Source organism: Homo sapiens, chromosome 9 (assembly GCF_000001405.40).
Source record: "Homo sapiens chromosome 9, GRCh38.p14 Primary Assembly".
NCBI classification, from domain to species: domain Eukaryota; kingdom Metazoa; phylum Chordata; class Mammalia; order Primates; family Hominidae; genus Homo; species Homo sapiens.
Genome location: NC_000009.12, coordinates 124770793 through 124796372, shown reverse-complemented (window position 1 = coordinate 124796372; position 25580 = coordinate 124770793). Strand labels below are relative to the sequence as shown.

General features: G+C 53.0%; 2 protein-coding genes and 1 long non-coding RNA gene across 8 annotated transcripts in view, besides 6 other annotated features; 1 reads left to right on the top strand and 2 right to left on the bottom strand.

The window, feature by feature from the left end:
- OLFML2A (olfactomedin like 2A) overlaps positions 1-19240 on the bottom strand; it is a 37750-nt gene extending 18510 nt beyond the window's left edge. For 2 of the 3 annotated variants that reach the window (NM_182487.4, XM_005251760.6), the window contains exons 1-3: positions 19013-19240; positions 9135-9398; positions 1242-1349 (exon numbers count right to left, since the gene is read on the bottom strand). In NM_182487.4, coding sequence (NP_872293.2) covers positions 1242-1349; positions 9135-9398; positions 19013-19102 — 462 coding nt within the window. In that variant the 5' untranslated portion in view covers positions 19103-19240. The remainder of the gene's footprint in view (positions 1-1241; positions 1350-9134; positions 9399-19012) is intronic. The other variant, XM_006716989.3, reaches the window with a different exon arrangement.
- Positions 18867-19166: a silencer, noted in NCBI's record as "silent region_20267". NCBI's record gives its function as "represses an Ori minimal core promoter by ATAC-STARR-seq in GM12878 lymphoblastoid cells {active_cell/tissue: GM12878}" and the evidence as "EXISTENCE:reporter gene assay evidence [ECO:0000049][PMID:35858748]".
- Positions 19237-19336: a silencer, noted in NCBI's record as "silent region_20266". NCBI's record gives its function as "represses an Ori minimal core promoter by ATAC-STARR-seq in GM12878 lymphoblastoid cells {active_cell/tissue: GM12878}" and the evidence as "EXISTENCE:reporter gene assay evidence [ECO:0000049][PMID:35858748]".
- LOC107987126 (uncharacterized) lies at positions 22536-25016 on the bottom strand. The gene is made up of 2 exons (XR_001746926.3): positions 24600-25016; positions 22536-23671 (listed from the first exon to the last, which is right to left on the bottom strand). It is a non-coding gene; the product is annotated as an uncharacterized LOC107987126 (long non-coding RNA).
- Positions 24663-24922: an enhancer, noted in NCBI's record as "active region_28989". NCBI's record gives its function as "activates an Ori minimal core promoter by ATAC-STARR-seq in GM12878 lymphoblastoid cells {active_cell/tissue: GM12878}" and the evidence as "EXISTENCE:reporter gene assay evidence [ECO:0000049][PMID:35858748]".
- Positions 24663-25572: a biological region, named in NCBI's record as "H3K27ac hESC enhancer GRCh37_chr9:127533372-127533939".
- Positions 24713-25280: an enhancer, noted in NCBI's record as "H3K27ac hESC enhancer chr9:127533372-127533939 (GRCh37/hg19 assembly coordinates)". NCBI's record gives its function as "activates a minimal SCP1, AML or CMV promoter by ChIP-STARR-seq in naive H9 embryonic stem cells {active_cell/tissue: H9 hESC(naive)}" and the evidence as "EXISTENCE:reporter gene assay evidence [ECO:0000049][PMID:30033119]".
- Positions 24993-25572: a silencer, noted in NCBI's record as "silent region_20265". NCBI's record gives its function as "represses an Ori minimal core promoter by ATAC-STARR-seq in GM12878 lymphoblastoid cells {active_cell/tissue: GM12878}" and the evidence as "EXISTENCE:reporter gene assay evidence [ECO:0000049][PMID:35858748]".
- NR6A1 (nuclear receptor subfamily 6 group A member 1) overlaps positions 25062-25580 on the top strand; it is a 254037-nt gene continuing 253518 nt past the window's right edge. For all 4 annotated transcript variants that reach the window (NM_001489.5, NM_001278546.2, NM_001410996.1 and 1 more), the window contains exon 1: positions 25062-25353. In NM_001489.5, the coding sequence (NP_001480.3) occupies positions 25254-25353 (100 nt within the window). In that variant the 5' untranslated portion in view covers positions 25062-25253. The remainder of the gene's footprint in view (positions 25354-25580) is intronic.

Here is a 25580-nt window from a genome sequence, read left to right as displayed (position 1 = left end):
CAAAGGAGAATAACTTCAGAGCCAGTAACGGGAGGGCCTGGAATGTACTAGCTGCACAGGAAATACTGGGACACAGAAGAAATTCACCAAGTGTCAGCTTTCTCCCCTGCTGCCAGGGGCTTGGCCAATAGTAGGTACATACCAAACACTTTTCGAATACTTAAAGCCACTGTGATCCCAACTTTGGGGTGAGGAAGGGGTTAATCTCCTACTCTGGGGCACAGGATGCCCAGGTGCCCCCTCCCTCTGTAAAGGAAGCTGGGAAAGGAAGCCCCCACGCCCGCTCCTGGCAGCTGTATGTCCCCAGACTCCCAGTGGCCCAACAGAGGCCGGATGCAGGAAACAGGCGGAGGTGAGGCTGCGCCAGCAGAGATACAAACCTCGAACCTGCAGCTTGGACCCCCATGCTCGCCCAACTCTGTCCTTGTCCCCAGGGGCAGTCCTGGTCCCCTGCCCAGTCCTATAGCACATTCACCCTGACCAGGGCAGGACACGCAGCACCTCTGCCTCCACAGCAGCTGGGCACTAGCCCAGTGGGCTCGGTCAGTCCTGCCATGTTTTACCAACCCAGGGGGGGCACTCCGACAAGGTATCTTATTTTTTATTTTGAGACAGTCTTGCTCTGTCGCCCAGGCTGTGGCACGATCTCGGTTCACTGCAACCTCCGCTTCCCAGGTTCAAGTGATTCTCCTGCCTCAGCCTACTGAGTAGCTGGGATTACAGGCACATACCACCACGCCTAATTTTTGTATTTTTAGTAGAGATGGGGTTTCATCATATTGGCCAAGCTGGTCTCAAACTTCTGGCCTCAAGTGATCCGCCTGCCTCGGCCTCCCAAAGTGCTGGGATTACAGGTGTGAGGCACTGCGCCAGGCCACTGAGCCACCATGCCCAGCCACCAAGGAATCTTGTGCGAATGGTACCCCCAGAATTGTGGGTCCTGATCTTGGTGCACTGGGGGCAACTGCAAGTTCCAGCTCCCTCTGAACCCCTTTCATACAACCAGCAGGTGCCTCGGTTTCTCCACTCAGACTTCAGCTTCCTGCAGGCCCTTGAGCCAGTTAGACCTCTTCCCCAGAGGCTGGACCCTGTGGCCTGCATTTCCCTCCCCCAGCTCCTGGCTGGAGTCTGGCTTCCCATGGTCACCAGGGTGAAGCCTGGATTGCCGGGGCCCCTTCGGACAGTGCCCTTGGCCCCCAGCACCAGAGCAGCCTGGCCTCTGGCGGCAGCCCCGCCCTTACCTCTTCCAGTGTGTTCATCTGGGAGGCCACCTTGTGGACGTAGGCGTGCACCTTCATCAAGTCCATGCTGTACAGGGTGCCCTCCAGGAGATCCACCATGGACTGCAGCTGCCCGGGGAAGGGGGATGGTTAGGCAAAGAGTGCAGCACATGGCCGGCCAGACACAGAGGGTAAAAGGAACCCTGCTGCAATTGAGAACTCCAGAACCTGGGCCAGGCGCTGTGGCTCACGCCTGTAATCCCAGCACTTTGGGAGGCCCAGGCGGGTGGATCACCTGAGGTCAGAAGTTCAAGACCAGTCTGGCCAACATGGTGAAACACCATCTCTACTAAAAATACAAAAATTAGCCAGGCACAGTGGTGTGTGCCTGTAGTCCCAGCTACTTGGGAGGCTGAGGCAGGAGAATTGCTTGAACCCAGAAGGTGGGGGTTGCAGTGAGCCGAGATCACGCCACTGCACTCCAGCCTGGGTGACAGAGTGAGGCTCTCTTCCAAAAAAAAGAATAATAATAATAATTAAAATTAAAAAGAACTCCACAACCCCAGAGCCTCAGAGTGGCTGGCATGGGCCCTGAGCACTCACCAGCCCCAGCCTGCTAATAATCACAAGAAAAACCACAGGTTCCATCTTCTGAGCCCTTACCACGTGCCAGGCGCTGTGCTAGGGGCTTTAAGGAGTTATACCAATTAATCATTGTAACAACCTCGTGAGGTGTGTAGTGGGCACTGGAGGAGTTTGTCCGGATCTTCTGAGATCCCTCTTACTAGATTTTGTGCCCGTCCCTGGCTTCCATGTGCCTGCATCTGTGACTCTCTTTAGAGTTGCTTCGCCCCCAAAGTGCCAGGGAGTATACGTCCTCTTGCAGCTGCCTTGAGGCAATGATCTAGTGACATGGACATCTATAATCCCAACTCACTAGCCCCAGTGGGGATGAATTGAGCTGTTGTCCCCACTCCAGAGATCCTCTGGGGATGTGACTGAGGCTGGCACTTTTCCCAAGACCACACCCTCACTTGGATACCCTCTTCTCCCCACCCTGCGTCTCCCACTTCATTTCCAGTTTCTCTGGGGAGTATTTTCTTTTCTTGTTTGTTTGTTTTTCAGAGACTCTGTCACCCAGGAAAGAGTGCAGTGGCATGATCCTAGCTCACTGCAGCCTCGAACTACTGAGCTCAAGCAATCCTCCCACCTCAGCCTCTGGAGTAGCTAGGACTACAGGTGTGCACCATCCTGCCTAGTTAAGTGTTTTATGTTTTGTAGAGATGGGATCTTACTACGTTATTCCAGCTGGTCTTGAACAATGATCTTCCCACCTTGGCCTCAAGTGATCCTCCTGCCTCAGCCTCCCAAAGCACTGGGATTAGAGGGATGAGCCACCACGCCCAGCTCAGGAATATTTTCAAAATAAATCACTTGCACATGAATCTCTGGCTTCAGAGCCTGCTTCTGGTGGCCCAAACTAACACCAGGTATGGACAACTTTCACCCTCATTTTACAGATGGATGCAGTTCAGAGGGGGCAAGTGACTTGCCCAAGGCCACCCAGCTGTTCAACGGTAGAACCAGGAGCAGAACCCAAATTCATATAAATCCACGTCTCTTTCCCAACATTCGGCAGGGGAGATATCATGAATCACCGTCTCTTTCCTATCATGCTTTATGGCTCCTGTGTCATGGTCAGACGGGGAAATGGCAGCCGAGAGAGGGAGGGCCTTGCACAACAGGTCAGCAGCAGGACCTGGAGCAGCTGCTGGGCCTCCCTTGCCCAGCCCAGGGCTCTGCCCTACAGCTCCCCCTCTCCCTCTCCTCTGTCACGCCTCATCAGGATATAACACTCCCTCCAGATGGCCAAAATGCCAGAGTGTCAGGGAGACATTGGCACAAGGGGCTGGTTGGGAAACCAGCCTTCCCTGGCTTCTTGGGAAGGGCAGTTCCTCGGGCCCACCCTCACGCACAGCCCCACCCTGAGCCCTCCGGCATTTCCCAGGGCCTGCACAGGCCAGTGCTCCTGCCTGGTCCTGGCTGGCTGTTTCCAAAACAGTTTTACTCCCACCTTCCCAGGGGGTCTCAAACTGTTTTAAGCCAGGGAGCTTTTCTTTGAGCAGAAGCTGATCTCTAAAACAGAGACGGGGGCGGGAGGCTGTGCTGGAAGCAAAGATAGGCTCAGTGGCTTCTCTGCTTTCCCACAACCTGGCTTTGGCCCCGAGGGTCTGCATGGGACCCCTGGGGCTCTGGAACACAATTTGAGAATCATGCGCATAGACATTTCTGTGCCTCAGTTTTCTGTGTTAAGAAATGGGACAATAGGGCCGTAGTAAGGAGCAGCAGTGTATGGACAGAGCTCAGCACTGTGTGGACACAGAGAGGGCTTCATGAAGCCCAGCAGCACTGATGGCTCCTCCTAGGGGCTACATGGGAAGATCCCAGCTTCACTCTGCTGCCTTCATGGCCACCAACACTGGCTTTGGCGAGGGTCCCTCCCTTGCGAGATGACCCTCTGTGTCTCCCCACTGCCCACATGTGGCTTCTCATCTCCTGAGTCTGGCATCTGACCCCTCCATGATCTGCCCCTGCCACCCTCCTCCAGGCCAGCACATGCTTACTCAGCCAGGCACTGAGGAGAGTGATAAGCAAGACCAAGGGGCACCCTGGTCTCTCACAGACTGCCAAGGACACAGCAACACACAGGTGCCCAGATCTGGGGACAAAGGTAGTGACACATAGGCATCCAGATCAGGGGACACAGGTAGTGACACACAGGTGCCTAAATCAGGGACACAGTGACACACAGGAGCCTAGATCGGGGCACAGGTAGTGACACACAGGAGCCTAGATCAGGGGACAGAGGCAGTGACACACTGGAGCCTAGATCAGGGACACGGGTAGTAACACACATGTGCCTAGATCAGGGGACAGAGGCAGTGACACATAGGTGCCAGAATCAGGGGCACAGGTAGTGCCACACAGTTGACCAGATCATTAATGATGGGTGCTGATCTTTTCCGGGCGCAGGTGTGGATCAGGAAAGGCTGCCAGGAGGAAGTTTTGTTCAGTCCGAGCTCTGTAGGAGGAGCACTAATTAGGCAAAGATGCCCAGGAAAGGACATGTGAAGTAAAGGGAGCAGCCTGTGCTATGATCTGGAGGAGAGGAGAAGGATGGTGTTTCCAGCCATGCCACTCAATGTGCGATCTGCTGAGCAGCACAGGTTCAAAATGCTTAATAGCAGCCTGTGATACAGTCATTACAGAAAATGGGAGTAGGTTTTTTAGGAACTTTTGTAGCCACTTGACAGAGCAATTTTATATCTGTTGACTCTCACAATAAAACACTAGATTTATCCTGTGTATGTCTGGCTTTGTTTCATTTCTTTCTTTTTTTTTTTTTTTTTTTTTTGAGACAGAGTCTCGCTCTGTCGCCCAGGCTGGAGTGCAATGGCACGATCTCCACTCACTGCAACCTCTGCCTCCCGTGTTCAAGCAATTCTCCTGCCCCAGCCTCCCAAGTAGCTGGGATTATAGGTGCCCGCCACCATACTTGGCTAATTTTTTGTATTTTTAGTAGAGACAGGGTTTTGTCACGTTGGCCAGGCTGGTCTTGAACTCCTGACCTCAGGTGATCCACCTGTCTTGGCCTCCCAAAGAGCTGGGATTACACTCATGATGCACTGCGCCTGGCCTGCCTCATTTCACTTCTCTAATAATTCATTTGTATAGCATTTTACAAAACTATTGGTTCTTGAGAGACCTTTAATCTTTAAAAAACTGGCCCTTCACCACAGATAGCTTGAGAAGCGCTGTGCTAGAGGAAGTCACAGGTGCTGGCGTGGCCAGAGAAGAGAGAAGGCTCATGCCACACCCACCCCACTTTCCATTACCCAGAAATGCCCTCCTTTCCTCTCTGCCTGAGGGACTCTTACATGTCCTTCAAGGCCCAGCTCTATCCTTCTATCCCCTCCTTGGGGCTCCCACAGTCCCTGGGATGTCCCTTGGCCACAGTCCCTGATCATACTGCCATTACTGGGGTCAGCAACTGTGTCCTCACAAGCCTGGGGACTCCTCGAGGCAGGAGCCATGTCTGGTCCCATCAAGAAGAAAAAGGAGTGGGGAGGTGAAAAGGCACCCTCCAACCCCCAGTCAAGATGGGGACAGTAGTTATGCTACTCAAAGTATCTCTCCTACCACAGCCATGCTGCGGAGGACAAACCACAGCTGGAGCTATTAGCTTGAGGGGAAGGGCTGGGGTAGAGATGGGTGGGATACAGACTAGGTGCCCCAGCCCCATCCTGTGGGCTCCCCTTAACCTCCTTCCTTGGGGGATGCTTATAGAGAATGTCCTGCTGAGAGAGGGGGAGCCAAACTGAACAGGAGGAAGCCCCAACCCTGTCTCCTACTGCCTCTGCCGCCTTCTCCTCTTGGGGGTCCCTGAAAGTGTACCCACTCCCACCCTTGGGGTACCAGTGAGGCAGCATATCCTCTCCTCCTCCTCCAGCCCCACCTGCCGGGTCAATCCCCCTTTATCCTAAGCCAGTTCTGCTGACCCAGAGTCCTGTGGCAGCTGTGCACTGAGAAGGCCTAAGGGACTGTGGGCTCCTGGCTGAGAAGGTGGTCTCACGATTCTTCAGTGGGCAGGGGACAAAGTAGAGAATTCCTGGGTTCAAATCTTAATACTTGGCTCATGCCTGTAATCCCAGCATATTGGGAGGCCGAGGGACGTGGATCACTTGAGGTCAGGAGTTTGAAACCAGCCTGGCCAACATGGCGAAACTCCATCTCTACTAAAAATACAAAAAAAAAATGAGCCGGGCATGGTGGCGAACGCCTGTAATCCCAGCCACTCAGGAGGCTGAGATGAGAATCACTTGAAAGGGGGAGCCGGGTGGAGGTTGCAGTGAGCTGAGATCGCGCCATTGCACTCCAGCCTGGGCGGTAAAGTAAGACTCTGTCTCAAAAAAAAAAAATCTTAATACTGCCACTTTCTTGCTATATGATCTTAGGCCATAGCCCCTCTTTGGGCCTCAGATTCTCCCACTAGTAAAGCTGGTACCATAAGTCCCCTCTCCAAAGGGTTGTAGCAAGGATTAAATTAGCTAAGAATTAAATTAGCCAGCGTTTATGAAAGGGCTTTGTGTCCTCATGTCAAACATGTGTACAATATTCAGTTATCGAGAAGTTGACGTGAGCAGAAATTGGGTTTGTTCCTGTAACTGAAGACTGGCCTATGGCCTGGGTGCCTTGAGTCTGCAGGGTCCTAAGTGAGACCCATGTAGACAGTGTGATCCAGGGACTGCCAAGCTGTCAAGATGCCACTTTGCTTAAAATTCATTCCCCCTGACTCCCCACCCAATTTTGAGAGCTTGGCATTCATTCAGGCGTTACAAAAACAAAACTGAAGTTGAATTTAAAGAAAACATTTTTAGCCAAATGTTGGGAGACAGTTCTTCCCAGATCTCTTGCTTTTCTGCATGACTTGCGTGCAGAGGCACTGACTGTCTCTGTGCTGAGCCATCTAGCTGTAGAGTGAACAGCCCTGGAAGACAGAGACACTGTTTCCTTCCAGAAGAAAGGGCAGGCATCCTTGGTGCCCATTATAAAAGATACAGATTCTCTAAGCTCAGGGCTCCTTTCTGTAACACACCTTATTATACATGCAGGTGTTATCTGACCCTCACTGCATTAGCCCATGGCAATTGGAGCCGGGGAAACTTGGCAATTGCTGTAATAAAGTCCTTTGTCTTTGAACCAGGAGGCTGCATCTTCTGCCAGCTTCCATGAAACTGGCAGGCTAACTTGTTAGCTTACAAGTAGGGTAACATCTCAGACCTTCCACAGTTTCTGACACCAAACAGGCAAAATAGAGGGAGAAGTTATAAAAGAAAAACATACTTTCAAAAAGCACCAAACTGGAAAGGCACAGTGACTCACGCCTGTAATCCCAGCATTTTGGGAGGCTAAGGTGAGAGGATTGTCTGAGCCCAGGAGTTTGAGATTAGCCTGAGCAACATAGCAAGACTCCATCTCTACAAACATTTTTAAAATTAGCTGAGCCTGGGGGTGTGCACCTGTGGTCCCAGCTTGGGAGGCTGAGGTGGGAGGATTGCTTGAGCCTGGGAGGTTGAGGCTGCAGTGAACTGTGTTTGCACGACTGCACTCCAGCCTGGGCAACAGAGCAAGACCCTGCCTCAAAAAAGAAAAAAAGCAAAAACCAAAAGACACCAAACAATCTGGTCCTTTACAAAAAGGAAGACAGGAAAGCAAGGTGGTTTAGAACTCATGCTCTGGACACAGGAGGACCTGGGTTCAAATCTTAGCTCCACCAGACCCACTGAGCACCTAGCTGAGCATGGTACAAATGGCATGAAGGTGCTCACTGGCTGTGGGGACTGAGATCTACCCCAGACATGTCTAACCAAACCATGGGTCCTGGTGGGGGGCCCTAGTCTGGGGCTGTGTTGCCCAGAGGTGGTGTCTCTTCTCATCTTCCTATGGGAGGCTCAAGGGTTTCTTTTCTTTTCTTTTCTTTTTTTTGAGATGGAGTCTTGCTCTTGTTGCCCAAGCTGGAGTGCAATGGCACGATCTTGGCTCACTGCAACCTCTGCCTCCTGGGTTCAAGCAATTCTCCTGCCTCAGCCTCCCAAGTAGCTGGGATTACAGATGCGCACCACCATGCGGGGTTAATTTTTGTATTTTTAGTAGAGACAGGGTTTCACCACGTTGGCCAGGGTGCTCTTGAGCTCCTGACCTCGTGATCCACCCGCCTCAGTCTCCCAAAGTGCTGGGATTACAGGCATGAGCCACTGCACCCGGCCTGGGTTTCTTTATTTTTTTTTTTTGAGACCGAGTCTCGCTCTGTCGTTCAGGCTGGAGTGCAGTGGTGAGATCTCAGCTCACTGCAGCTTCTGCCTCCTGGGTTCAAGTGATTCTCCTGCCTCAGCCTCCTGACTAGCTGGGATTACAGGCACCTGCCACCATGCCTGGCTAATTTTTTGTATTTTTAGCAGAAACAGGGTTTCATCATGTTGGCCAGGCTGGTCTCAAACTCCTCACCTCAGGTGATCCTCCAGCCTCAGCCTCCCAAAGTGCTGAGATTACACGCGTGAGCCACCATGCCCGGCCGAAGGTTTCTAATTCTCACAAAAGTATGGCATAGATTGGAGGCTGCCCATCATTATGTGAGGTTGGGCAAGTTACCTAAGTTCTCTCAACCTTGGTTTTCTCACCTCTAAAATGAGGAAATGATCCTATATTTCACAGTATGGTTTAAGAACTCAGAGAAGGCCGGGCACGGTGGCTCATGCTTCTAATCCCAGCACTTTGGGAGGCCGAGGCAGGCAGTTCACTTGAGGTCAGGAGTTCAAGACCAGCCTGGGAAACATGGTGAAACCCTGTATCTACTAAAAATACAAAAGTTAACTAGGTGTGGTGGTGCACGTCTGTAATCCCAGCCACTCAGGAGGTTGAGGCAGGAGAATCGCTTGAACCCGGGGACGGAGGTTGCAGCAAGCCGAGATCGTGCCACTGCACTCCAGCCTGGGTGACAGAGCGAGACTCTGTTTCAAGAAATAAATAAAATAAAATAAAATAAAATAAAATAAAATAAAATAAAATAAAAACAACCCACTGCCACAAAATGTAAAGTATAGCTAGGTGCCAATGGATGAATTGGTTTGGGTAAAATATAAGACACTGGAATAGGTGATAAACTAGCAGAAGAATCCTGCCTTTGTCACTTCCTGGCAAGAAGTGACTTCCCCTCAGGGAGCCTCAGTTTCCTCATCTGTGAAATGGGGCAGTAACACCACTCGCCTCACAGAGTGTGTGGAATTTTCACTGGCAGGACAGCAGGCTCCAGCTCATGATAGGCCCTTACTCCCTCCATCACCCCACCAAGTCTACCTTGAGGAGCTCGGGCGCCTGCTTTTTGAGTTTCTCCATCTTCCACTCGTTCTCACAGGGGTTGAGAGAGGAGGGAGGTGCGGTACAGGAGCAGCGGCAGTCAGTGCCCGAGCTCACAGTCTCCACCGTGTAGAAGTCCTCCACGCGTGCCCGCCCACTGCGCACTCGGCTACACGCGTCCTTGCTCAGGGGCCGCATGATGCACTTGCAACGGCAGTCGGAGCCCTCCGAGGTCATCCTCACCTGGTCCAGGTCCCCAAACACCTGTTGCGGGGGGCAAGAGGGGCTCCAGTGAGTTGCTGCTAGGCAGTGCTATGGCAGGGAGGAAGGGAGAGATGGCAGAAGCCAGCTGGCCAGCCAGCCTTGGGATGAGAGTGTTTGGCAGGTAGGAGGGGGTGCAATTAGAGGTGGTGAAGCCCTTTTAATAATAATAACAACTCTGTGTGTGTGTGTGTGTGTGTGTGTGTGTGTGTGTGTGTGTGTGTGTGTCTACGTCTCTGCGTGTATTTTTTTTTTTTGAGACGGAGTCTTGCTCTGTCGCCCAGGCTGGAGTGCAGTAGCGCCATCTCGGCTCACTGCAAGCTCCGCCTCCTGGGTTCACGCCATTCTCCTGCCTCAGCCTCCCGAGTAGCTGGGACTACAGGTGCCCGCCATCACGCCCGGCTAATTTTTTGTATTTGTTAATAGAGATGGGGTTTCACTGTGTTAGCCAGGATGGTCTTGGTCTCCTAACCTTGTGATCCGCCCGCCTCGGCCTCCCAAAGTGCTGGGATTACAGGTGTGAGCCACCGCGCCCGGCCCGTGCGTGTATTTTTAAAGACAGGCTCTCTCTCTGTTGCCCAGGCTGGAGTGCAGTGGCCTGATCATGGCTCACTGCAGCCTTGACCTCCCAGGCTCAAGTGATCCTCCCACTTCAACCTCCCTAGTAGCTGGGACTACAGGCATGCGCCACCATGCCCAGCTAATTTTTGTATATTTTGTAAACAGGGGGTTTTGCCATGTTGCTCAGGCTAGTCTTGAATTCCTGGGCTCAAGTGACCCTCCCTCTTCCATCTCCCAAAGTGCTAGGATTACAGGCATGAGCCACAGTGCCCAGTCTTTTTGTTTTGTTTTGTTTTGTTTGTAGAGAGAGGGTCTTGCTGTTTGGCCCAGGTTGGAATGCAGTGGTGGGATCATAGTTCACTGTAACCTCAAACTCCTGGACTCAAGCAATCCTCCTGTATCAGCTTCCCAAGTAGCTGAGATTGTAGGTGCATGAGACCACACTCGGCTAATTTTTAAATTTTCTGTAGAGATGGGATCTCACTATGTTGCCCAGGCTGGTCTTGAACTCCTGGCCACAAGTGATCCTTCTGCCTTGGCCTCTCAAAGTTCTGGGATTACAGTATGTGCCACCTCACCTGGTTCGACAATTTAAATATTAATGGCGCTGTGAAAAAGTTTGGCGATTCCTCAATAAGTTAAACATAAAATTCCCATAAGATCCAGTAATTCTACTCCTGGGTATATACCCAAGAGAATTGAAAATGGGTATCCAAAGGCCGGGCGCGGTGGCTCATGCCTGTAATCCCAGCACTTTGGGAGGCCGAGGCAGGCAGATCACGAGGTCAGGAGATCGAGACCATCTTGGCTAACATGGTGAAACCCCGTCTCTACTAAACAAAATACAAAAAATTAGCCGGGCGTGATGGCGGGCGCCTGTGGTCCCAGCTACTCGGGAGGCTGAGGCAGGAGAATGGCATGAACCCGGGAGGCAGAGCTTGCAGTGAGCCGAGATCGCGCCACTGCACTCCAGCCTGGGTGACAGAGTGAGACTCCGTCTCAAAAAAAAAAAAAAAAAAAAAAAAAGAAAGAAAATGGGTATCCAAACAAAGACTTGGAAGTGAATGTCCATAGCAGCATTATTCACAGTAGCCACAAGGTAGAAACAACCCAAATGTCCATCAACTGAATAGAGAAATATTCAGCCATAAAAAGGAATGTAGGGCTGGGCACAGTGGCTCATGCCTGTAATCCCAGCACTTTGGGAGGCTGAGGCGGGCAGATCACCTGAGGTCGGGAGTTCGAGACCAGCCCGGCCAACATGGTGAAAACCTGTCTCTATTAAAAATACAAAAATTAGGTGGGCATGGTGGCACATGCCTGTAGCCCCAGCTACTAGGGAGGCTGAGATGGGAGGATCACTTGAGCCTGGGAGGTCAAGCCTGCAGTGAGCCATGATCAGGCCACTGCACTCCAGCCTGGGCAACACAGTGAGACTCCGTCTCAAAAAAAAAAAAAAAAAAAAAAAAAAAACAAGTAAAAGGAATGCAGTACTGATTCATGCTACAACATGGATAAATCTTGAAATATTATGTTAAGTGAGAGAAGCCAGACACAAAAGGCCACATATGATATGGTTCCATTAATATGAAATGCTGTATCCAGGAGAGGCACGTCCATAGAGACAGCAAACAGATTAGTGGCTTCCAGGAGTTAGAGAGAGACGGAAATGGGGAGTGGCTGCTTAATTGGTATGGGGTTTCCTTTTGGGATGACAAAGATGTTCTGGAACTATTAATAGATAGTGGTGATGCTTGCACAATATTGTGAATGTACCAAATGCCACTGAAGTGTATACTTAAAAATGATAATTTTTGTTATTTTGTTTTACTATGATAATAAAAATTATGGAGACCTTTTATTGATCACTTATATACCAGGTTTCACATGCATTACACTTTTAAATAATATCTCTGGCCGGGCACAGTGGCTCATGCCTGTAATCCCAGCACTTTGGGAGGCCGAGGCGGGTGGATCATGAGGTCAAGAGTTCGAGGCCAGCCTGGCCAACATGGTGAAACCCTGTCTCTACTAAAAATACAGAAATTAGCCGGGTGTGGTGGTGGGCATCTGTAATCTCAGCTACTCGGGAGGCTGAGGCAGGAGAATCGCTTGAACCCGGGAGGCGGAGATTGCAGTGAGCCAAGATCGTGCCACTTCACTCCAGCCTGGACAAGAGAGCAAGACTCTGTCTGTCTCAGACAAAAAAGAAAAAAAAAAAAAGAAAAAAACTACCTCTGTGTGTTGGGGAGGTGTTGTGACCTTCAAAGCCCTTACCGTGGCCTTCAAGGCCCATGTGAGTTGATACTCTCCCTTGAACCGCTCCTTATTGCCCTTCCCTTTCAATGGCTCTCTCCACTGCAGCCTCAGGGCTTTTGCATATGCCATACCCTCCCCAGAAACTCCTATCCCCCAATCTTTCCCTGGCTTACTTCCTTGTATCACTTAGTTCTCTGCTCACATGTTACCTCCTCTGAGAAGCCTTCCCTGACTGCTCACCTCCTGTTACTCTCTATCCCTTCATCTAGTGACTTGGTTTTCTTTACTGCACCTATTAGTACCTGAAATATGAGATCTGAGTTTGTGTATATTCTGTCTCCCCCACACCATAGGTACCATTAGAGGCAGGGCCTTTGTCTAGTTTCCTGCTATGTCTTCATAACAGTGCTTGCCTGGCCTGCAGTAGGAGCTCTGTAAATATCTGTTGGGTAAATGAGCCTGCATTTTGTAGACATGCTAGAGCACAAGGTTAAGAGCATGGCATCTGGAGCCTCAGTGAGACTGTAGGCAACTTAATATTTCTGTGCCTCTGTTTCATCTGTAACATGGGCTTTCACATCATGAGGTGGTTGTGAGGATTAAGTGAGTTAAAACAAGTAAAGAACAGGGCCTAGCACATATTGAGTGCATCTTAAGTGTGAAGTATTCTTCTTATTATTATCATTAATATTATTTTGAGACAGGGTCTTGCTCTGTTACCCAGGCTGGAGTGGAGTGGCCTTATCACACCTTGACCTCCTGGGATCAGGCGATCCTCCCACCTCAGCCTCCCAAGTAACTGGGACTACAGGCATGTGCCACCATGTCCGGCTAATTTTTGTATTTTTTGTAGAGATGGGGTTTCACCATGTTGGCCAGGCTGGTCTCAAACTCCTGGGCTCAAGTGATCCTCCCACCTTGGCCGCCCAAAAAGCTGGGATTACAGGCGTGAGCTACCATGCCTGCCCCCACTGCTTTTTCTGCAGCCTGCGGAGGGGCAGGGGAAAGTAAGAGGCAGGGAGCGTGGGGAGGAGGGTGGCTAGCTATGGGTGTGTCCTGGCCTCTCGGTGGGTGAAGTGTAACTCTGGGCCAATTCTTCTCTGCCTGTGAACACCAACAGTCAGGCTCAGGGTCCTGTACATTCCTCAGAGTTAGCGCCCTAACTCTGCCTGTCCTTCAAGACTCCTGGGTCCCCTTCCCAGCTCTGCTGGAATCTCTTGCCACTCCACCCACTCCCCCAGATGGGGTCAAGAGCCTAGCGGGTAGATGTGGGTGTGTTCTGTGTGGCCAGGCCAGGGAAGCCTCCTCCTGGGGACTCACCCATACTCCCAACACCCACCCGCACCAGCAGCTGCCTCCACATCGGACCGTGACATTCCTTCCCTCCTCAGATGAGGTGCTACCTCCTGATGGGGGCGGCCAAGGCCCTGACCTGGGCCAGGAATTGGAATAAGGCCTCTGCTCCCAGTGCCAGCTGCCAGGCACCCAGGCAGGGTCCCCCTTCCTGTGACTGCTACATCCTATGCTTGGCTGGAGGGCAGCAGAGCGCCAGGGGGAAGAGCCAGACCTGGGCTTAAGTCCCAGTTCCCATACCTCCTCCCTGCTTGGCCTTGACCCCTCTGAGCCTCAGCTTCCTCCTCTGTAAAATGGGAAGAATCACAGTCCCTTTGTCATAAGCTCATGGTGAGTCTGAACAATCAACGCATGCAGGGCCTCGGCATGGCACCTGGCACAGAAGAGCTGCTCTCTAAGGGGTACCTGCTATCAGAATCACTGCTGATAACTCTTCCTGCCATTTGCTCACAATTTTCTACCTCTCTGTGTTCTCACCATAACCCCACCTTAGAGAGGAGAAAGCTGAGCATCAGAGAAGACTAGGGGCTTGCCCAGGGTCACACAGCATGGCCTGACTCCAAAACTTGGTTTACATGTTGCCCCTCTCATGGCCACCCACAGTCACCAGGCAGGGGCTTCTCCCTGAGCAATTGGGCTGGGACAGATGGGTCTGTAGAGAGGGGGCCCTGGGGGGCATAGAACCTGAGGCTCCTACTAGGCCCAGCCCACCCTGCCCTTGGCATGAAGTCTGGAGTTGTGCCAAGCAGGAAAGTCCCTGCCTTGGCCCTGCATCTCTCCCTGCAGCCTTGCTCAGCACACACAGATGCCAAAGCCCCCAGAACTAGGAGTGGTTTGTGCTTAAAAAGGTACTCAGGTATTTGCAAGGAAATTCCACAGTGAGATGAAGGTGTATTTGAGATTTTTCTGCAGAGAGATGGATGAGTCTAGCTAGAGTGGAGGAGAGGGCATTCAAGCTGTGAAATGTTCCAGCAACTGAATAGACTCAACTTGTGTCTTTTTTTTTTTTTTTGGCCGGATTCTTGCTCTGTTGCCCGGGCTGGAGTGCAATGGCGCGATCTTGGCTCACTGCAACCTCTGCCTCCCAGGTTCAAGTGATTCTCTTGCTTCAGCCTCCTGAGTATCCAGGATTACAGGTGTGTGCCACCATGCTCGGCTAATTTTTGTATTTTTAGTAGAGATGGCATTTCACTATGTTGGCCAGGCTGGTCTCGAACTCCTGACCTCAGGTGATCTGCCCACCTTGGGCTCCCAAAGTGCTGGGATTACAGGTGTGAGCCACCACGCCCGCCCAACTTGTGTCATCTTGAAGTTGGGTCTGCCCTTTTTCCTCATGGCCAGCCCCGCCTCACCATGAGGCAAAGACCTCCCCAAGAGCACAGTAGCCAGTTGGGCACCTCCCCCTGGCTGCCCAGAGGTACCCCAAACTCAATCCATTCCAAGACTGGACCCAGCCTCTTCTCCCAGACCCATGTCCACCTACCCTCCTGCCCAGCCTGGATCTCTGAGCCTCCTTCTTACCCTGGATAATCTGTCAGTCATCGTGTTCTTCTGACCCTTCATCCTAAATATCTCTGACCTCTGTCCCCTGCTCTCCACTCCACAGCCATAGCCCTAGTTCGGGCCATATTAACTGCTACCTGGACAACACAGCAGCTTCCTGTGTTTGATGAATCTCCCAAAAGCTCCTCCTTGGTAATCTATTTTACTCTTGCTCCACAAACCTCCATGGATCCCTACTCCCTCCATGAGTTCCCAACTGGGGGCCATGCCTCAGAATTGCCTGGGGGTGCACCTGGGAGCTGCAGATGCCTGGGTCCTGCTCTAACCCGATGGTTCAGACGCTTTCCGGCTCCCCAGCCTATCTGGATGCTTCCTAGAGGCTCCAAGGCTCCAACTACTCAGGCTCCCTCTGTTTAGGAGTTTTGAACAACCTCAATCAGACTCTTTTGAGCCTCAGTGTTCAAGACCATAAAATGGGGAAGGGCCGCTGAAGCCTCAGAGTGTTGGCACAAGGGATGTGTAAGATTCTGCATGTAAGTGCTGGGGACATGGCTTGGCACACACGATGCTCCTCAAGGCTCTGCCCCAGATGCCCCAGCCAAAGGGAGTGTTGGGATAAGACCCTCCTTGCAGAGACACCCAGTAGGGCTTGGCCTGGCCTCACAGTCTTGATGTGTCGAAGGAGGACTCCATCACTATGTGGCCCTCGCCTGCCGGAGAGCCTGTTTCCAATTACACCCACAGGCGGAAACTCCCGGAGCGGAGGCGAAGCAACACCTAAACCCCCGGGACTAGCCTGGCCTGGAACATCTGATCCAGCCCCGGACACCACCGCCTGCCTGCTCTAGCCCCTCCTGCTCCCCTGGCTGGGCTCCCACAGTCCTTTGGGCTTCCCTCTGTCCTTGGGCCCCTGATCAGCAGGCTGACCAAAGACCCCCTCCCCACCCCTTGATGCTGGAGGGAGTGAGGCACCGGCAGCCCTTTCACAGATGGGGAAACTGAGGTAGAGATGGAAAATTCTCAGTCACATTCCAAGAACCCACAGCAAGAAGCAGCTCCCCAGAGGTCTGCGGTGCTATGCCTGGGTGTCATGTGGTTACCTGTCCATTCCAACCTCTGTGCTGGGCAGCCCTTCAGAAATACCAGGGAAGCTGTGGGGTCCCCCTCCTCCTCCCAGCCCCGACAAAGCACTTCCTTAGATGGAAACTCAAAATCCAGTTTAGGAGAGACCTAGTTATAAACATGAAATGAAAACACGTTGAGCAAGGAGCTGGCCAAGGAGACCAACAGAGTCCTGGGGTGAGCTGCCCTGGACCCCTGAATGTGCTGGGCCAGAGGGCAGACTAGAGCTCCCAGGAACAGGAAGCCCAAGGAGGGGCCAACTTAACCCTTTAGGGCCCTACATTGACTTCAAGTCCCAGGCTGGCCCTCCGAAGGGCTCATCCTCCACCCCAGGGAAAACGGAATGGGCTTGGAGAGGAAGGCGGGGTTGTGATGGGGGAAGGAGCGAGTGATAATGAAAACAGCTCTCTCTGCAGAGCCAGCAGGAGTCTGGCTCAGCTAAGGAATGCAGAGTAAATTCACCCATCACTTGATTTTTATTTTTCCCAGCTGGCTGAAGTGGTTTGGGGGTGGGAGGTGTCTGGGGGAGGGCTGTGCTGAGTCCCCCAGCTGTTCATCCTGCAAGCTCTAGGTTGTGCCTCTCCACCCCACCAGCCCCAGCTTGTCCTGGGACAGCTAAACACCCCCCCCCCACCACACACACACACAACCTAGCAAGTGTTTGGCTGACTCACTACACAAACAGGGTGTTGGGTTTTCTTTGTCTCTGCTTTGTTTAGAATGTGAGCTCTCCCCCACAAGCTCTACAGCTCTCTGCACAGACGATGCCCAACACCAAATATCCCTCCCAGCCAGAGATCCCAGTGGTGACAAGGCACTGATCAGGTTACCTAGGATTTTCTACTCACTTGTCATCATACCTGAGCCAGATCAGGGAATCCCAGAGGGCCCCATATGGAAGGAAGGTTGGGGAGATGTTTCTTAGATGAAGAAACTGAAGCCCAGAGACAGGCAGTGATTTGCCCAAGGTCACACAGCAGAAGAATAGCAGAGGAAGGCCAGAACCTAGGGTTTTAAATGTACAAGCCAGCTGCCTCTGTAAACACCCTAGTTTCCCCACCTGTAAATTAGAAAAAATACTCATTCCCTCCTTGTCTCTGGAGTACATGAGCAGCGTTGTACGTGGGTGCTTTCATGCCCTGAGCTGAATCAGGCTGAGAGTTGGCCAGTGCCCACTGCTCATATACTCACCGTGTGGCTAGTGGCTTCTGTCTTTTATCTGTCCGTGGGCAGGCAGGACACTCACATTCTACCAGGAAAGAGGCTGGAGAGGTATTGGAAGTCACTTTTTTGCCCTCACGCTCTGTGACCAGGGCTCTGGTCCTGCTCCTCACTCTCCCCAAGGTCTGTCCGTTTTTTTTTTTGTTTGTTTTGTTTTGTTTTAAGACACAATCTTGCTCTGTTCCCCAGGTTGGAGTGCACTGGCGCAATCTCCACTGACTGCAACCTCCGCCTGCTGGGTTCAAGCGATTCTCCTGCTTCAGCCTCCCGAGTAGCTGGGATTACAGGTGTGCACCACCACACCTGGCTAATTTAATTTAATTTTTTTTTTTTTTATAGAGACGGGGTCTCACTCTGTTGCCTAGACTGGTCTTGTGCCACTGCGCCCAGCTAATTTTTGTATTTTTAGTAGAGATGGGGTTTCACCATATTGGCCAGGCTGGTCCTGAACTCCTGGCCTCAAGCGATCCACCTGCCTTGGCCTCCCAAAGTGCTAGGATTACAGGTGTGAGCCACTGAACCTGGCCATCAGGGAGTCATTTCCAGAACACCCCAAGTGCTCTGGTGCTAAGTATTTTTTTTTTTTCTTTTTTTTTTTGACACGGAGTCTCGCTCTGTCGCCCAGGCTGGAGTGCAGTGGCGCGATCTCGGCTCACTGCAAGCTCCGCCTCCCGGGTTCACGCCATTCTCCTACCTCAGCTTCCGGAGTAGCTGGGACTACAGGCGCCCACCACCATGCCTGGCTACTTTTTTTTGTATTTTTAGTAGAGACGGGGTTTCACCGTGTTAGCCAGGATGGTCTCGATCTCCTGACCTTGTGATCCGCCCGTCTCGGCCTCCCAAAGTGCTGGGATTACAGGCGTGAGCCACCGCGCCCGGCCTAGTGCTAAGTACTTTACAGGCATGACCACACCGCATCTAGAGACCATCAACTGCAGGAAGTGGGTCCCATGATTCTCCCTGTATCTACAGGTGAATAGACGGAGGCTCAGATGGGCGATGGCGGATGAGAAGCGGATGTGCGACTGAACCCAGGTCGGCTTGACACCAGAGCAGATCCTCTTAGCCACAGCAGAGAACAGCTCAGACCACTTCTGGAGCTACCTAGTCCTCCAGGGGGTGCACCCGGTCCCTGGCAAGAACATCAGAGGCCAGGCGAGTGGCCAGCGCGGCTGCGTTCATCGGGTAGAGAAGACCCCCAGTCCCCAGCGGGCCGTGAAAGCCGTGGCCCAGGGCTTGCTGCAAGCCTGGGAGTCGTTGGGTAACAGTTGCCAGGAGCTTCCCCTACGAACCCCGAGTCTGGCCAGCACTCCGGGGAAATCCCCCGACCCCTCCGGGAATCGGACCCGGTCCCAGCGCCCCTTCCTCAGGCCCCGGGTCCCTAGCATCCCTACATCTCCAGCGCTTGTTCCTCCACGCGCCCCTCTCTCGGGGCCCCTGCCCCTGCGGCTTCAGTGCTGAGAAGTCCCAGGTTCGGTCTCTCAGCTCCCGGCTCCTCCGCCCTGGCCCCGGGCTCCCTCCCGGGCCGCACCCCAGCCACAGCGCCCCCTCGCGCCCCGCTACCCGCCGAGCCGCGCGGGTCCGAGGGGCGTGCGTACCTTACTGTCGGCGCGCGTGGGGCGGCCGCTCAGCAGCAGCACTAGCGGCAGAAGGAGCAGCGGCCGGGGCGGGAGGGCGGCAGCGGCCATGGCGCCACGGGCACGGTAGGCACAGGCGGCCGGGCACGGACGCTGGGAAGCGCGGGCTGCACTGCGAGCTCCGCGCCTTCGCCCGCTCTGCCTGCCCCGCGCCCCGCGCCTGCACCCTGCTGCCAGCCCCGCGGGTCTTCCAGCGCCGCCAGGGGCGGAGCTAGGGCGGAGGGGGCACCCCGCCCCGCCCCGCCCGCCGTTCGCGGGGCCTCCCCGTCGTCGGGCGGCTCTCCCAAGGGCATCCCTGCCCGCGCGCCAGGGTGGGTCTCGATCGCAGCCGGCAGGAGCAACGGGGCCAGGGCGAGGCGCGTGGGCTCCTCTCACGGACTCAGGTCCTGTCCTGTGAGTCGTGGGACCTTGGGCGTGTCCCTTCACCTGTGTGCCTCAGTTTCCTCATCTGTAAGATGGGGGACTCGTGCTTTCCTTTTGGAGTGTTTGTAAAGTTCGCATGAGAGACGGATGTTCCCAGGGCACGTGAGCCCTTGCGCTCTCCGATTTCACCCACTTCTGGACAGGGACCTGACTGCTGTAAGCCTTCCCAAGGCTCAGCAACCCCAACCTGTCTTCCGTCTTTCATTTCTCCTTCCCTCTGGAATCCCTCCTGTCGGCTCCCAAACTCCAGTAGCTTCCGGCTTTTAAATTTTTATTTTTCTCACTCTGTTGCCCAGGCCGTAGTGCAGTGGTGCGATCCCAGCTCACTACAGCCTTGACCTTCCCAGCTCAAGTGATCCTCCCACCTCAGCCTCCTGAGTAGCTGAAACTACAGGTGTGCACCACTACACCTGGCTAATTTAAAGTTTTTTTTTTTTTTGCAGAGACGGGGTCTCACTCTGTTGCCTAGACTGGTCTTGAACTTCTGGGCTCAAGCAATCCTCCCACCTTGGCCTCCGAAAGTGTTGAGATTACAGGCATGAGCCACTGCACCCAGCATTTCCTTTTTTTTTTTTGACTGGGTCTTCCTTTGTCACCCAGGCTGGAGTGCTGTGTTGCGAATACAGCTCACTGTATCGTCAACTTTCCAGCTCAAGCTATCCTCCTCCCTCAGCCTTCTGAATAACTTGGACTACAGGCATGTGCCACCATGCTGGCTAATTTCTGTATTTATTTTAGGGATGGGGTCTTCTGTGTTGCCCAGGCTCTCAAACTCCCGGGCTCAAGCAATCCAGCCACCCTAGTCTCTCAAAGTGTTGGGATTACAAGTGTGAGCCACCATGCTTGGTCTCATTTTCTTCATAGAATTTATTGCTCAATGGGACTGTCTTTCTTGTTGGTGTGTTTGTTTCCTTGTGTTGGAGCATGACTTCCTAGGGCACATTCTTAGTTTCTCCCCATGAACATTGAACTCAGTGGTTCTCAAAGTGTGGTCCTTGGTCTCAGCCTCCGCATCATCGGATAACTTGTTAAAAATGCAAACTCTCCCAGCCTGGGCAACATGGTGAAAACTCGCCTCTACTAAAAATACAAAAATTAGGCTGATGTGGTGGTGCATGCCTATAATCCCAGCTACTCGGGAGGCTGGGGCAGGAGAATCGCTTGTGAACCCGGGAGGCAGAGGTTGCAGTGAGCCGAGATGGCACCACTGCACTCCAGCCTGGGCAAGAGTGACACTCTGTCTCAAAAACAAACAAACAAACCCAAAAAACAAAACTTAGCTGGGCGTGGTGGCACATGCCTGTAGTCCCAGCTACTTGGGAGGCTGAGGCACAAAAATCACTTGAACCCAGGAGGCAGAGGCTGTAGTGAGCCAAGATCGTGACACTGTACTCCAGCCTGGGTGACAGAGCGAGACCTTCTCAAAGAAAAAAAAAAGAAAAAGAAATGCAAATTCTTAGGCCCCACTACAGACTCACAAAATCAGAAACTCTGGGCATGGAGTCCAGCAATCTGTGTTTTAACACACCCTCCAGGGCTCCAGGGGGCTTAGGGTTTGAGAACCACTGACCTGGCACAAGGTACGGTGCTCTACAACTCTCAGCTGAATTAAAGAACCCTGTGCAAAGCACACACTGAGTACAAATAAGCTGCTGCTGCTTCTTTTTTTTTTTTTTTTTCTTGAGACAGAGTCTTGCACTGTCGCCCGGGCTGGAGTGCAGTGGCGCAATCTCGGCTCACTGCAATGTCCGCCTCCCGGCTTCAAGCAATTCTCCTGCCTCAGCCTCCCAAGTAGCTGGGATTACAGGTGCCTGCCGCCACGCCCAGCTAATTTTTTGTATTTTTAGTAGAGACAGGGTTTCACTATGTTGGCCAAGCTGGTCTCAAACTCCTGACCTCGTGACCCGCCCACCTCGGCCTCCCAAAGTGCTGGGATTACAGGCATGAGCCACTGTGCCCATCCACAAATAAGCTTCTTCTATAACTAGAGATCCCCTGGGAGGCATCAAAACCGGGGCTAGATTAGTGTAAAAAGTAAATATCGTGTATGTTCTTATGGACATAGACTATCTGAAAAACAATGCAAAAAGTCAGCACGGTGGTTCTAAGGAGATCCAGGGAGTAAGAACTTTCATTGCATCCTGTGGGTTTTGTAATGTGTGTGTCCTATGTATTCAAAAACGGGACAGAGCGTACTTAAAAGAAATCGAAGCCGGCAGGGGGGATTCCCTCCCCAAGCCCTTTCTTGATGAACTGCGGCCTTGCTCTGACTCTAGGCAGGACAAGGAAGAGCAAGGCTGCCGTCACTAGAGGAACTCTGCCCCCTGCTGGCTGTTCCCCCACATGACCTGATAATCTCTGGCTGCCTCCTCTTTACCCTTCTCTCTCTCAGTGGGCTCTGGTCACCACAGATTCTCCCAGCTCCTCAAATGGGCCAAGCCGTGATCTGGCTGGCCTTGGGACCTTGGCACATGCTGTTCCTTCCACCTGAAAGCCTTCCTCTCCACCTAGTCTCACTTCTAGTCATCCCTCCCGATTGAGATCAGTCAATCTGACCCGCCTCGGCCTCCCAAAGTGCTAGGATTACAGGTGTGAGCCACCATGTCCGGCCATGCCTGCCTTGTTCTTAGCTGTATCCCAGTCTGGTCCCGTCTGTCTGCTGCCTCTGGCCTCAGAACCACAGCCCCCTAAGATCCCTCCTTACCCTTAGACACATTCCTTTCCAGATCTTTTGAGTCCTGCAGGTGGTAGCAGAGTCTTTTTCATCTTTCTGAACCTGTCCCCACATTTCTAAACTGGGGGAGAAAGTATTGATTTCTTAGGATTGTTGGAAGAAATGTAGAGAGATTAGATAAAAGGCCCCATAGTAGGTGCTGGACTCATAGTGAGTGCTTAGTTCATTGGGCTGTCAATGCTTAGGACAGTGGCTGGGGTCTCTAGCACAGTCATTTCCCTTGTTTTTCTCAGTCTTGTGGTATTTGACTCCTCCCAGAAGCACTTTCAGAAGACATGCATCTGAGATTTAGAACCACTCTTTAAATAACATTAGTAAGAGGTTCCATTTATTAGGCCAGACCTTTAATTGCTTTGCAAGCATCGTTTAATTCTCATAGCATTCCTGCTAGGTAGCAACTATCATTATTACCCATCCCCTTAGAAGACAGGAAATAGAGGCTCAGAAGTCACTCACCTAAGGTTAGCTGTTTTTATCCATTCTTTCACCCAGTCAGCAATTATTGAGAGCCTACTATGTGCCAGATCTGTACTCAGCAGTTGGGGTTATGAGTGAGAATAAAGGGATGTGACTAGTCAGGGAGGTGTGGGAAGGTTTATGGAAGGAAGGGACAACAGAGCTGTAGTCTGAAGGACTGGAGGAGTTGTTTCCAGGGGCTGAGCATTTGGCTGAACTCTTCTGCCCATCTAAAGAGGGTTGACTTAGAATCTTCATCAACTACCAAAACTCCAGGGCTGCACGTTTCTGCAGTGCCACTTAGGCTCTGATGGCATCTCCAGGGACAGAGAACTCACTACCACCAGAACCTGTGACAAAAAGGTAGATTCCTGAGAAAGGCCAGATGGTCCTGACTTTTTTTTTCTTTCTTTTTTTTTTTGAGACGGAGTTTTGCTCTTGTTGCCCAGGCTGGAGTGCAATTGCGCCATCTCGGCTTACCGCAGTCTCCGCCTCCTGGGTTCAAACGATTCTCCTGCCCCAGCCTCCTGAGTAGCTGGGATTACTGGCATGCGCCACCACGCCTGGCTAATTTTGTATTTTTAGTAGAGACGGGTTTTCTCCATATTGGTCAGGCTGGTCTCGAACTCCTGACTTCAGGTGATCCGCCCGCCTCAGTCTCCCAAAGTGTGGGGATTACAGGCATGAACCACGGCGCCCAGCAAGGTCCTAAAGTATTTTAGAACCCACAGCTGAGGGAATGGCAGGCCGTCCTCTCTTAGTCACAGGGTTTAGCTCCTGAAACACTGCTACCTAGCAGAGGGGATCTAGTTGTCCCTCGGTGGAAGGTATTAAGGAAGATGCCACTGAAGAAACATTTGAACAGGATCTTGAAAGATGAATAGGAGTTTGGGAGTGGGTCAGGTGAAGTCAGCCGCGTTCCAGCTTGAAGGAGCCAAGGATTAAGGTTCTGGTGTGTGACAGAATGGAGCTGGAATCCCCATCACTTCTGGTGGACTTCATCAGTGCTGGAAAGGGACAATATTGTTGCTATCTCATAGAGCAGGTATGAGGTTTAGACGGCAGAGCGTTAATGTAAGTCTCCCAGATTACGTATGAAATACAGTTTCACCAGGGTTGGTAAGGTCCAGTTGCCCCCAAGTGCAGAGAAGCGTTGCAACTTTCGTAGCAGGTGAGGGACGGGGTATGGTGCGAAATGTGGGCAAGGGTCAGGCCAAGCAGGGATGCGAATGCCAGGACGAGGACTTAAAATTAGGCAAAAAAAAAATAAAAGGGCTAAGGGATTGGTGGGGCGGGTGGGGCAGGAGAGGGCGAATGAGCGGCCACCGAGGAAGCTGCAGCATAATCCGGCAGAGCAGAAGTGGGCAAAGCACCAACGTTCTCGTTCTTTGTCTTCAAGTGGGCCAGGTAGGCCTTAGACCCTTGGCGGCAGCAGCGAAATCCTTTCCCGATGGGGTCGCCGAAGACGGACACCCCGGCGGGCCTAGTGACCGGTGGCCGCGCGCCACCTGGTGGCCGCAGCGGGTGGATTCGGCCGGGAGCCGCTGCAAAATTCGGGATTTTGCTTCCGGAAAGCTTCGGGAAACTGAGGTGGGAGGGGCAGGGGTTTGCGATCTTCCAACTTGATCCTGTCCTTATTCCAACCCCCTTTTACAGATAGGGAAACTGAGGAAAGGGGAAGGCAAACAAGGCTGGGCAAGGGATCCCTCTTAAACGGAAGGTTTCAAGACACCTGGGGTCAAGAGCCTAGGGCTTTCTTTAATAGCCCCAATGGCCCGGAGCTTAGTTTGCCCATCTGTTCTATGGGCAGGGGGAAAATGAAAGGGGAGGAGGGGAAACTTTAGTCTTTGCCGCCCACCCGGAGGTAAAAAGTCTTTAAAGACTACCCCGGAAAGAAGAGTTTTATATATTCCATTTGCATACGAACGCAGTCACCTCGAGTTAAACTCCGGTCCTTTAATCTCCGGTCCAATTTGTCCCGCAGCGGCAGGGAGAGGCCCACGTGAGTACCTTCAAGCCCCGCCTCCAGGGCCCCGCCCACAGGGCTGGGCTTCGTTGCACGTGCTCACCCGGCTGCCTCGCGATCCACCTCCTCGCAAAGACTCATTGTTGGGGTGGGGGGTTACGAGGACTCTTAGGGAACTTTGATCAGGTAGAAATCACAATCAAGACAAGGCCCGGAAGTATCCGCTTACTACATAGACATCAAACGCTTTGTCATGGTTCTTGATATTGACAGACTTTAGCTTTCCCTTCTCAGGACTTCTTATCCCTCCTTCCACCCCTTCAGTTGGTGCGGTCGGCGTGGCCGGCCTCGCTGAGCGGACTCCAACTTCCAGCGTGCCCCGCAGGGCCTTGCGCGGCAGCGGCGTGTGACGTCAGGGGAGGGAGCTGGCCAGTGCTGAGGGGGCGCGGCGCGGAGGGGCGCGGAGCGGCGCGGAGCCGGGCGGCTCGGGGCCCAGAGAGAGCCGCGGCCGGGAGCTCGCGGGCTCCTGACAACCTCCTCCCCTCGGCGGACGACGACCACGGCGACTAGGGCGCCGGTCATGGCGGAGCAACAAACCCGGCGCGGACCCTAGGCACCACCGCATGGAGCGGGACGAACCGCCGCCTAGCGGAGGGGGAGGCGGCGGGGGCTCGGCGGGGTTCCTGGAGCCTCCCGCCGCGCTCCCTCCGCCGCCGCGCAACGGTGGGTGAGGGGCCTGCGACGCCCGGGCCAGGCAGGAACCGGCTTCCTGAGCCTCCGCCAGGGATCCCCCTCCTCTCTGCCGACCCTCGCCCTGGGAAGCCGCAGCGGCCCCGCGGCCCCTTAGGGTGGCCCTTCACCCCGTTCCCCGTTGGCGCGGACCCTCCCTCTCCTCCCCGGTCTCGCTCAGGGTGGATCCTCCTCCTTCGTCCCTGTTCCCTTCTGCGCGG